The sequence below is a fragment of the Homo sapiens genome, chromosome 4 (genome assembly GCF_000001405.40).
Source record: "Homo sapiens chromosome 4, GRCh38.p14 Primary Assembly".
Lineage (NCBI taxonomy): Eukaryota > Metazoa > Chordata > Mammalia > Primates > Hominidae > Homo > Homo sapiens.
In genome coordinates this window covers 81,211,745-81,223,844 of record NC_000004.12, presented here as the reverse complement: position 1 = coordinate 81,223,844, position 12,100 = coordinate 81,211,745, and the positions used below count along the sequence as shown (strand labels likewise).

General features: G+C 43.4%; 1 protein-coding gene and 1 long non-coding RNA gene across 7 annotated transcripts in view, besides 2 other annotated features; one reads left to right on the top strand and one right to left on the bottom strand.

The window, feature by feature from the left end:
• Positions 1-6,008: 6,008 nt before the first annotated feature.
• Positions 6,009-12,100, top strand: part of PRKG2 (protein kinase cGMP-dependent 2) — a 130,467-nt gene continuing 124,375 nt past the window's right edge. For 2 of the 6 annotated variants that reach the window (NM_001282485.2, NM_006259.3), the window contains exon 1: positions 8,623-8,909. The gene's annotated coding sequence lies outside the window, so the exon portion shown is untranslated. Of the gene's footprint in view, positions 6,032-8,193; positions 8,216-8,622; positions 9,578-12,100 lie in introns of those variants that run through there. The other 4 variants (XM_017008415.2, XM_017008416.2, NM_001363401.2 and 1 more) reach the window with 4 other exon arrangements.
• LOC124900726 (uncharacterized) lies at positions 7,621-8,959 on the bottom strand. Its single transcript, XR_007058162.1, has 2 exons — positions 8,887-8,959; positions 7,621-8,280 (listed from the first exon to the last, which is right to left on the bottom strand). It is a non-coding gene; the product is annotated as an uncharacterized LOC124900726 (long non-coding RNA).
• Positions 8,590-9,090: an enhancer, noted in NCBI's record as "H3K4me1 hESC enhancer chr4:82135909-82136409 (GRCh37/hg19 assembly coordinates)". NCBI's record gives its function as "activates a minimal SCP1, AML or CMV promoter by ChIP-STARR-seq in naive H9 embryonic stem cells {active_cell/tissue: H9 hESC(naive)}" and the evidence as "EXISTENCE:reporter gene assay evidence [ECO:0000049][PMID:30033119]".
• Positions 9,091-9,591: an enhancer, noted in NCBI's record as "H3K4me1 hESC enhancer chr4:82135408-82135908 (GRCh37/hg19 assembly coordinates)". NCBI's record gives its function as "activates a minimal SCP1, AML or CMV promoter by ChIP-STARR-seq in naive H9 embryonic stem cells {active_cell/tissue: H9 hESC(naive)}" and the evidence as "EXISTENCE:reporter gene assay evidence [ECO:0000049][PMID:30033119]".

The window sequence follows — 12,100 nt, the reverse complement described above, 5'->3', positions numbered from 1 at the left end:
GAAAGAATTTGTTCCAAACCTTTCTCCTCAACTTGTAGGTGGTTGTCTTCACATTATCCTTCCCATATGACTGTCTGTCTCCGTGTCCAAATTTCTCCTTTTTAATAAAGACACCAATCATGTCAGATTAATGTCCTTCCTAATGTCCTCATCTTAATTAATTAAATCTGTAATAATCCTGTATCCAAATAGGTCACATTCTGAGGTTCAGGGAGTTGTGATTTTGACATATGAATTTCAGGAGGGACACAATTCAATCCATAACAATTATTTGCTGTGAAGAGTCAGTGAGACCAATGACCATGAGTAAGAATGGTTAGATGAAGGTTTGAAGAAAGAGGAAAAGGTTTACCACATTCATTGTGGTAGAGAGAAATATAGCTGACCAGGTAAATTCAGCAAGATTACCAGGGAGCATTCAGTGCCCAGAGGAGATTGATATGAAGAATTCAGAGTGGTGTAAAACCCAAACTGCTTACCATTGCCTACAGGGCCTCATGTAATCTGGCCTCACTGTACCCTCTCTGAACTACATGGTATCACACTCCTCCATGTTCTTAGGTTCCAGCCCTGAAACTCACCAAGTTCTTTTGGCCTCGATATAGTTTGGCTGTGTCCCCACCCAAATCTCATCGTGAATTATAATCCTGGTAATCCCCACATGTCTAGGGAGAGACCTGGTTGGAGGTGATTGGATCATGAGGGCGTTTCCTCCATTCTATTCTCATGACAGTGAGTGAGTTCTCATGAGATCCTATGATTTTATAAGGGGCTTTTCCCTCTTTGCTCCTCCCAATCTGTCTCCTGCCACCATGTGAAAAGGTCCAAGTTTGCTTCCCCTTCACCTTCTGAAATGATTATAAGTTTCCTGAGGCCTCCCTAGCCATATGGAACTGCGAGTCAATTAAAACTCTTATTTATAAATTACCCAGTCTCAAGGAAGTTATTTATAGCAGTGTGAGAACCAACTAATATAGGCCTGTTGGCCATTGCACATGCTTTTCCTTCTGTCTGGCATATTCCTTCCTAGATCATCTTGTGGTAGGCTTTGTTTCATCATTTGGTCTTCACTCAAATGCTCCCTCTTAAGAGAGGTCTTCTGAAGACCACTTCTCAGAAGTAGTTTTCCATTCCCTTTTCTAGTTTTTCCTTTTCTCTTCTGTTATTTCTTTTATTAAAATACTCTACTCCCTAACGTTCTAATGTGTTTTTTGTATCTTTTTATTTTATGTGTTTATGCAAAATGAATAATGTATTTTGTGCATATTATCTTTAATTTATGCAAAGAATATTGTGTTTTATATCTATATATATCTCATTGTACTTCTATTTTCTACTAGATACTCTTATTTTTAAGGTATATCACTTTGCTTTGGGAACATCTAACTTGTTTCTAAGTATTGTTTAACATCCTATGGCATATAGCCATAGGAACTTACCTATTTACCCTCCCAGAGATGCATACCCAGGTGCCCTCTAGCCTCTAATCATAACAATAAAAAGGAAGTTGCAATAAACATCCTATGGCATATAGCCATAGGAACTTACCTATTTACCCTCCCAGAGATGCATACCCAGGTGCCCTCTAGCCTCTAATCATAACAATAAAAAGGAAGTTGCAATAAACATCCTAGTACATGCTCCCTTATGGACTCATATGGGAATTCCTCTAGGATATATGGTATACTCAGAAGTGGAATTGCTAATGGGCTGTATGTATTCTTAATTTGAGTAAATCATTCCAGATGGTTCTCTAGAATGGCTTTACCAGTCGAATCTCCTACTATTGACCCAGAATTTAAGTTTATGAGAACAGGACCTATATCTACCTTGTTTCACTAGTTTTTATTGTTTAAGTACAAGAGGAAGAAGTGGAATTCCTTCCTAATGGGGGCTTCTCCTGGCTATTGTAAGACGTAAGGCTGGGGCAAGGTACCAGTAGCATGAGATAATGCATTCCATACCCAACTGTGTAAGGAGCATAGTAAAGACAGTGAGGAAGTAAATAGAGGATCAAGGAACTAGAGGTCACTATAGGGCCAGAAACACATGAAGAGAATGTAATTGAACAATTAAGCTTGAAGGATGGAAAGTTGTTGTCACAGAGTATAATGCCTTATTTTAGTTTGGTTTCTCTAGAAAACAGAACCTAAGGTAAAGCTCACATGTGACACTCTATTTAGAATATTATCCTAGGGAAGCAAGAATGAGCAGAAACACAGAAATAAAAGAGAGAAGGAGAAAAAGCAGATTCAAAGTTGTGCATTACCAATTTGTCTACAGCTTCTCTAGAAAACAAAGCTGGTTGCTGAGTCATGCCAGAGTAGCCAGAAATACAGAACCATTGCATCTTTGAACAGCTCCTGGGTGGGCAGGAAGGGTGAACAATTTATTTGTTGTCTTCATCCTGGCTCCTGTCTCTCAGTGGTCAAAGTCGGCTCCACAGGTCATTAATTCCACTATATTTCTGGGTTGTGTTTTGGGCCCCTCCAGGCAGCAGTGAGGGAAGCCAGAGTTTCTGTGGGTTCAGTCAGGTCAGCCCAGGGGCCTGGAGCTGCTGATGCTCCCTCTACAGTGGGTGTTATGAAGGTCATGCTGGTCTGGCCCTGGATCCAAGGGAGGCCGAGGTCAGTGACAGCATTAAACTGGGCTTTAGGACCATGGGGACAACACCAGCCATTGCTTGGGCCACTCTGGCTGAGAAGCAAGGCAAAGGGCTGAAGCCCTGGAGGCAGGCAGGACTGTGCAGATCTGGGGTGCATATGCACTCACAGAATTGGTGATTTTAGAGGGATTTCCAGGTGTGACTATGGGAGTGATGGCTGAAGCTGAGATGGAGCTATTAGATATGGGAAGACTAACGAGTTGAGACGTTAAGTGTTGGATGGGTAGTCCAGGTTGACTCTGAAATAGCACAGGATGGTGGGATGCTAAATACTGTGAACCTAGTGCATAGTTAGTGTACACTGGCTATATTATTTGATGACTACCTATACCTAGAAAAAAAAATCACTATTTAGGAAAGTCAGTGTACCCTGGGCTGAAACTTATTATGTATAGATAAAACCAGAAGACCAAATTTATTTATATTTTGTACTTTTAAAGTAAATTTTACTATTACTTGATTGTCAATTGGACAGACTATTAATTTCTAATTTATATCATTATTTTAAACAATTGTCTATTCCAGAAGGAAAATCAAGAACATGTTCCAAATTCTTTCTACGGAACTTCAGAAACATAAGCAAAATTCTTCTGGATAACAAATCATGGCTTCCTATCAACTCTAGGATTGGACCTGCTGTGTGTGGTACTGGGAGAGATACAGCAAAGATAATCAAATGTGAACCATGCCCTCCAAGAGTTTACAGCTCTGTAGGAGAGATAAATGTAGTTAGGCACCAATAATACAAAGTAGAAAGTGATAAATACCACAAGAAGGGCTGAGACAAAGTACAGTGCTGGCAAGTTCTGGAAAAGGGGTGGACACCTAGAAATAATCAGTGAAGCTATGAGATGAGAGACAGAGAGAGAGAGAAAGGGAGAGAGAGAGAAAGAGAGAGAGAGAGAAAAAGAGAGAGAGAAAGAGAGAGAGAAGAAAGGGCTAAAGCCAGAATCCTGGGAAAATTTGGACTGGGTGGGAGTGGAAACAGATGATGGGGGACATTCAGAGAAAGCATGGGCAAGAGACTGTTCAATTCTAGATTGGGATCACACGAAGGCTCGGCTGCTGCTTGGAGGAGCTTGGAAATAGCCCAGATGTACCAGGAGTTAATGCCCATAACACTCTCATCCCCAACCGGGATCACTGGGAAGGCATTGGTAAATGACAGGCTACTGTCCCTTTGGAAAGAGGAGTAGAAAGAAGACTGATGCTTCCAATGCTAGGCCTGGAAGATTGTATGACATTATTGATGAGCTTCCACAGAGGAAGTAGAGGCACCACATATGGGGTTCACTTTCAAGTCTCTAGTATCTTAATAGACAGTTTTTTTTTTTTTAAAGAAGATAGTAGATTAAAGAGTGAAAATTTTAAATTATTTTTTAAATAATGAAGAGACTTGAGCTGGGTATGTTCTGGAGATATAAGCATTGATACAACAAAGTCCCTGCTCTGAAGTCTAATAAGGGAGATTGGCAAGTTAACAAGGATTTGTAACTTGGAGCACCATGTTGCTGTGGGGTCATGGGAGAGAAGCACTATCCTTCATGGTCAGCAAGACTTCATGGAAGAGGTATTGAGGTAAATAAAGGGATTGTGGGCTGCACGGAGCTTAGATAACATGAAAATTTGGGTGGATCCAATTGGCCCAGTTTTATAACCATATTGAGTGATGCTGGAACCTGGACAACAAAAGCATCAAAGGCAAATGGGATTTTCTCTTGGCTAGGGTTTGGCAAAACCAATCAGAAAGGAGGGCACTATGACTTGAGGTTCTAGCCTTAGCAACTGAAATGGCTGCTCATGGAGTTAGTGTGGTAGGATAAGGAAGCCTGAAGATAAATGAAAGAATAAAAGAGGGAAGGAAAGAAAACCAAAGACATGGTGAGAAAATGGAGTGTGAATCACCAGCATGGGAGTTTTGTCCCTCTTATGTCCCCAGGAGATTTTCTGCTGATCCATAGAAGGGACCTCAGTTGGGCCTTGGAGGGCTCCAAGCTGGAATTAAAGATTATGAGCACAAGGCTGATCTGATGGGGTGCCCTGACAGGAGTCTGTGTGCAAAGGTAACTATAGAGCCTCCTGTGTGGAAATTTATCCCAAGAAAATAAGATTGGCATGGGATGATCCTGAACTCAAATTGAGTCATCCAGGGGCTTGGGAGTCTGAATTAAGTATGGAAACATTACTGGATCTCTTCCTAGCTCAGCCTCTTGGATGCAGGTCCCTGCAAGAAACAGAAAGTGGGCAAAACCGGGAGGTTTCTGTGAAACACTTGGGCTGCTTGGGGACTTTTCTGTGTATAAAACAAGGGAAGACAGGCCTTTTATCATCCCCATTTCCATAGGCTACCTCTGAACTTTGACAATGTGAGAACTCTGGTGCTCTGGTGACAGTGCTTAGCAGAGACCAGGAGACCTAGTGGAGCAGAGGCTTACCTAGTAGGAGGAGGATTAGTCATGAGTATGTCCCACATCGCCCATGTGCTTAGATTAACATTGCAGACGGGCCTCTGAGGGGCCTGTGTTCTTCAGTCAATGGCAAAGAAAGGCCAGTGGATTTTAATTTCTCGTTGTCTTTGTACAGGTAGAAGAAGTCAAGATTTTAGGGTCTGGAATTATATAGACTGGCTCTGCAACTTATTAGCTCTGTGAATTTGATCAAAGTTACTTAACTCTCTGAGTTTCCTTCCTCAGGTGTGCTTACCTCCTCAGGTCAAAGGAGTAAATGAGAAATTACATGGAAGCCTTTAACTCATGACACAGAGTCCAACATCACAGGCCAGATTCCTTCAGCCTGAAGGTGCTTCCTCCTCACTCCCTGTCTCACTCTTACTCATCTTAAGTTTAAATGCCCTCCACTTTTTTTTTTTCCAGAGAGACATTATTCTTGAGCCCCTGTAGCAGACTCTAGATTGCCTACCCAGCATCCATTGCCACCCTCTCCTTTTTATTCGGGTATGCACTTCTCAAAGAATGCAATCGGGAAGAGTTAGGAACCAGTCCTGCAGAGCCTAAGAGGCTGGGAATGGTGATTCTCCCCTCCACCTCCAGCATTTAGGTGTGAGCACATGCTTAGTTTGGATTAATGACAGGTGAGAAGTCTCCTGGAAGCTTCCAAGAACGATTTCCCGACTCTGGAAAAGAGAATCTCTGTGACCTTTGGGCACTGTTGGGATTGCCCATAATAAATGGAGTTGTTCCAGTCATCCTGGGGCCATGGGTGGAGCAGCCCCAGGGGACAAAGCTGCCATACTGGGAATGGCAGGGGGAATAACGGGAACAGGCCAGGGCCTTCCCAGACACAACTGTGTTCCTGAATTCACCAACTAGAGCCTCCTGACCTTGGAACTTCTTGCCTTGTGAAACAGTAAGTTTCCTTATAATTTAAGCCATTCTAAATTGGGTTAATTATTAATTGCAGCCTCCCACATCTAAATTATAACCCCATATTTTTTTCTCTCATTTTCCTTCACAGTATTTCTCCCACATATGCTTACTTTTGTGTTTACTTATTTAATGTCTGTTTCTCTCACTGGATTGTACACTCTAAGTTGGCAGAGATCACAAGTTAATTTTGTTCACCATTGAATTCTAAGTATTTAGCACTGGGCCTGAGATGCAGGAGCTGCTGAAAGCACATTTGTTGAAAGACTGAATTAAAAGCTCAAAAAGTGGTCACTTTCCTTCTCTTCCTCCGTTTCCTTGTTCAGCATGGTAGAGTTGTAGATTTGACAGAGCATAGGATTGCTGGGAGGGAACTTAGGTTCCCCCTCAAACTCTTCCTAGCTGGGTGACCCTGGGCAACAGCCTGCACTGCATCGACAGCTTTCAAGCTTTTACCTCAATGAACGGTAAGAAAGTACATATGACCCAGTTGACCCAGTGTGCGTGCATACTCTGCTATTTTTTATTCTATTTGGTATCATTTTAAAAATGCTGGCTTTGACCCAGTACATCAATTTTATAATCCATTAATTAGCAACCCATTGTTTAAAAAAGCCCAGGACTCAATGAAATGTAAGGACTTTGCAGCATTATTCACAATAGCAAAATCATGGAGTCAACCTACGTGTCCATTAAGGGGTGATTGGATTTATAAATGTGGTTTTATATTATATATATACACATATATATATATATATATATATACAAAATATATACACACACACTATGGTGGTATACACACACATACACTGTGTACCTATCACCTGAAAAACTGGGAAAATTTTTTTTTGATTCAGGGGTACTACACACACACACACACACACACACACACACACACACACACAATGGAATACTACCCAGCCACAAAAACAATGAAATCATATCTTTTGCAGCAACATGGATGGAACTAGAGGCCATTATCCTAAGTGAAATTACTCAGAAACAAAGTCAAAAACTGCAGAATCTCTTATAAGTGGCAGCTAAACAATGGGCAGGCATGAGTATCCAGAATGGAATAACAGACACTGGGGACTCCAATAGGTGGGAGGGTGGGAGGTGGGTGAGGTAGGAATTACAACTTATTAGGTACAGTGCACATTATTAGGGTAATAGGTGCGCTAAAAGCCCAGACCTCACCACTATGTGTTATGTCCGTGTAATGCGACTGCACTTGTACCCCTGAATCTGAAATTTTTTTTTAAAGTGAAGACTTTGAAAATCTGTTTTTCTCCTTTTTGTCATTAAATCGCTAATAAAAATTCAGCCCATCAACTTAAAAGTCCATTATTACAGTGACATACAATTACTTATTTTCTCTTTTCTTGTGGAATTCTTCCTCACTCCTTTCTCCTCTAATTTTTTTTTTTTTGAGGTCTTTATAAAATGTACAGACTCTGGGATAGCTTCATGAAAAGGTACTTTGTGTACTTTCGCGATTTTCCTCCAGTTAGCACAAAAACAAACAGGACTATATTCCTCCTCCTCTGAAACTTAATGGTCTCATTCAACATATTTTACATGGGCCTCATTTTTAATATAAGTTTATGTATGTAACAGTGTATACAAATGTTACATGAGCCCCACTGCCACCATGTGGTTTAAAAACCCAAGAGAGTTGGTTGTAACATTCTCTAGATGCACAGTGAGGAATAGACCCTCACTATACTTTCCATCTCTCAACACAGAAACTGCCCTTGTCCTCCGTGAATTTGCTGGTGAAATTCCTCTGGGGGCAGAAGGAAAGGGAAAAAGCCACATGGAGATCTCACAACTCCAGAGCACAGCAAATAATGCGGTGGGGTGTACATATATATTTAGGAAACCATATTGCACCCTTCAGGAAAAAAAAATGTACTCAAAAGGTGACGAGAGAGCATTATCTTCTTGGGTGATCAAGAAAGCTCCCTTCCCAAAGACCTGCAGATTCGGAAGGTATAATCTCTGTCCCTCGAAACTCGATTCAACCCCTGCCCCCAGCATCACGTGAACTGGCAAACTAGATGTAAGTTATGGCCCCAGAGTCCGGGAGGGGCGCGTCGACGAGCTGCTTCGGGGTCACATGTCTTCGTAGAAAGGCATTGGTGTGACAGAGGAGGGCATGTCCAGGGTACGTGCGCCTGTTTGAGCTCTGGGAGGGAAGGCGAAGTGGAGAGAGCCTGCAGTGAAAACAGACTGGAAGGATGGAGGAAAGGGAGGGGAAGGAAAAAATGAACACCTCCCTGAACTTTCCTCTCCCCTCGTCCCACACACTTGAAATAGAAATAATAACATGAACAAAAATGCTTACAACCACGATGTTATCGCCCTACTTAAGTTGCCTCACTATGGAGGGTATGGGGTATAAAGTGCAGACTGCGGCTGTGTCGGGAGTAAAGGTTCGGGCTAGTGTGCGTGCGGGCGCGGGTGACCCCACCTTTAGGGAAGCCGGCGCCCAACTATCCAGGCAGTAGCCCCGGCTGACCCCCTCCCTCCTCCTTCCCTCCTCTCTTCCCTCCCTCCCTGCGTGTCTCCTCTGCACCGGCCCCCGCCGCGGAGCCAGGCGGCAGCACCGACGCCGCCGCAGCTCCTGCCCGCATCGCGCTAACCCGCGCCCCCGGCTCACACGTAGCCGGAGCGACTGAGCCGGCAGCCCCGGGCCCACGCTGCGCACCGTGTGCACGGCGGGGCTGGCTGAGCTGACCTGCGCTGGGCTCCGGCGCCGCAGGCGGCTGGGGAGGGCGGCGTGGGAGAGGACGCTGAGACGCAGGGGCGGCCGCGCCGAGGTGACAAGCTGCGCACCTGGAAAGTTACCCGGCTGTCTGGTGAGGTTCGTGGGCCGGGGGTCTTGGGCGCCGGGGTGTGAGGGCGCGCGGGGAGGGACGGGGTCGGGGTGCGCGCGTGTGCATGCTGTGAATGCGTTGCGCGATGTGCGCCTCTATTCCACACCCAGCCGGTCTCTTGCTTGTGCTGTTCGAGTGTGGACGTGTGTACGCGTTGCATTCGCTCGGTGTGGCAGCGTTTCGTGAGCTCCTGGAGGCAGGGAAAGGCTACTTGTGTTTAGAGGTTCTGTTGAGGGCGGGAGGGGCTCAGCCCCAGTGGGGAGTCCTCAGGGTTCTCTAGGTTTAGCGAGGAGAAGCGGTGGAGGCTGTTGCTCCGAGCTAGGGGCTTGGCGGTGCTGTCAGGGCTTGCGCTCCCGGCTTTGCTTCGTCGAGCTCTGGGTAGTTGCTAGGGGACAGTCCTCAGGCAAGGACTTTTAGGAGTCCTGGTAAACTTGTGTGGGTGTCCTTTTGTCACTCTGGGCACCGTGAGGCGCTTTCATATTTCTGTATTTCTCGGTGATGAAGAAACAAGAGCAAACAAAGCCCAGAAACCAGCCACTTTGGGGATGAGAAAAAAAGAAATAGGTTCAGTTCTGAGAAGAACTACGGTGCAACTACGAAGCAGCTGAGGCCAGAGCTGACAATAAAAGCAACGCATGCAGAATTAGTAGGTAGGAAGGGTGACGCTGGGACAAATGCCTTGATTTCCTGATCTTCATCTTGTTCCCCAAGTTCCCAGGGGCTTTTTCCTTCTTCTTCTTCTCCTTCTTTTTTTTTTTTTTTTTAAGGAAGAGAGCAACATACACCTGCCCCCACCCCACCACACCCCCATATTTAGAGTTTCTTAGAAATTGTCTCTTTTCTTTGCAAGTTTCTATTTAACTCATGAAGAAGGCGATCATCCCACATAACATACACTAGCTGTTTTCAGTACTCCTGTTTAGTTTTGCACAGGAGGGTATGAGCTAATATGGTAGAGAATTCTCTATGGAGAATTAGAGTGCATCCTCTCCGTTGGAACGCTGTATGACTAAGAATAAACGACCTGAAAAGATGATGCCCAGGGATCTTTCTCTTTTACGTGAAATCCTTAACTCCAGTTCTATGAAGTCATTACAAGTGAGGCTAATGAGAATTCACCTCACAGTGAAGGCATATGTTGCCTGGCTGTTGCCCAAGTCCTGTGATCCCTTATTGTCTTGCTTCCTCTAGGCTATTTTTCCTATGAATTATCTCTTCTTCTCCCATGTTTTCGTTTTTCATATCTCCTGTGCTTCATTATCCTGGAGCTACAGACATTTTCAAATTTTCATTATTTTAAAAATCCCTCACATGAATCATGATATCGTCTTGCAGGCTCTACTCTTAGTGTCAGCTCTTTCCATGGTCCCTTGTAGTTGAGTGTCTATCCCCACTCTTTGACAAATCAGATTCAGCACTTTTCTCTCTGATCTCATTTGCTGTGACAGGCCTGTGGGATGTGAGGTACAGCCTGCTCACCTCTTAAGGATCTTATCTGCATGGCCTTTCTGATGCTTCTCCTAAATCTCTTATTGGTACACGTGTTCCTTCTCCTTTGTGGTTTGCTTCTCCTCCTCTTCTCCCACAAATAATATCCACAGATATTACCTATATGTTCATAGGTAACAATAGAGACATTCCTTTCTTACCTCCCTTAGTGATCTCATCTACAAATGGTACTTCAAGTCTTCTATGGAGCAATCTCTTCCCTTGAGTTTTCTTTTTTGCTTCTACCTGCTAGACATTTGCATCATGATGACCCACAAGCATCTCAAACTCAATATATGTAAATCCAGACTCATTACTGTCTTTTCAAAGCATGCTCATTCTCCTGACTTCTGTCAGTGCCACAGTGTCTAGCCCATACACGGTGCCCTATGTGTTCTTTTTGAATGACTGAATGAATGAAGAGTAGATAGTAATACTTTCCTTCAAGCCTCCTAAGATCAAAACATTGAAATCATTTTGATTGCCCTCCCATGCACATCCATTTAATTACTACATTAGAGATGCTATCCTGCAGTGTTCCTCCTACTCACCCTCTTCTAATATTAATCTCTTCACATCCTCTCTCACTTTAACCAAAGCAGTACCTTCTTACCATATCTTACAGTTTTCTTTCCAACCTCATATAGACCTAGACACTCTCCTCTCCTCATCGCTAATATCCTGGGCACTTGCCTCCAATTCATCAACTTCAGCCTCTATTTATGTATCAATAACTGCTTAATATTTTCAGCTTTCCTCTTTCTTTAGCTTTTCTTGTCCCTCATTTCTTACTGCTCACTAAACTTCTCTACTTAAAGTTTCCACTGGTGCTTCAAACTGAGTATATCCAAAATTAAACTCACTGTCCTATCCCTCAAATCTGCTCCTCATTTTGGTCAATGACATTACCTTTTACCCAGTTGCCACAGTATAAACTTTCAAATCCTCATCGTCTTTCTTCTTGCCACCACTCAAAAATTCTGTCAGCTATAATCTTCTGACCTAGACTTACAGACCTACATTTCTGTGTGTTTGCTTGTTTATCTGTTAATGTAGCCCCCCAAATAGCTGAATTTGGCAGTCAAATATAGGATAGTGGCATTCATAAAATTCACCGCGAACATTCTGCTGGGGGGGTGGGAGGGAGGCACTTTAAAGAGATAACCAACCTCCAGAGTAGCTGCAACTTTGGTACAACAAGGTCATATGATTTCCTGTCAAGAGAAAGTTTTTCTCCAGCCAGGATGCTGTGGACAGAGAAAACAAGCAGTAGATTCCAAACTGAGCCCCGGGTCAACAGTCACAAGGTTGGATGGACAGATGCTTTTAATTGTGGCATTAATGTGAAAGTGAGCTGTTTCTCACAAGGACAACAACTCTGTGTGGTTTGCTTCAGGGAGAAGAATCAGGGATTTATATATTCAATTATTTTCTAAAGGAACTTTAGAGAGACAAGCTAATGGTAACATCAAATGTATCAGTTTCCTATCCACCTAGAATATTATCTGTAGAAGTCTGTATAATTCACTCCTCTGATTTCCAGCTGAACTGCCCATTATCATTAAAAAATCAATTCTGGTTTCCATGATTTATTGAAGGGAAGGACATTGCAGTGTTACATATAGCTGTAACTTTTATTGAATCTCATATGGCAATGTTTTTCTCTCTGGCTACCACGGAGATGG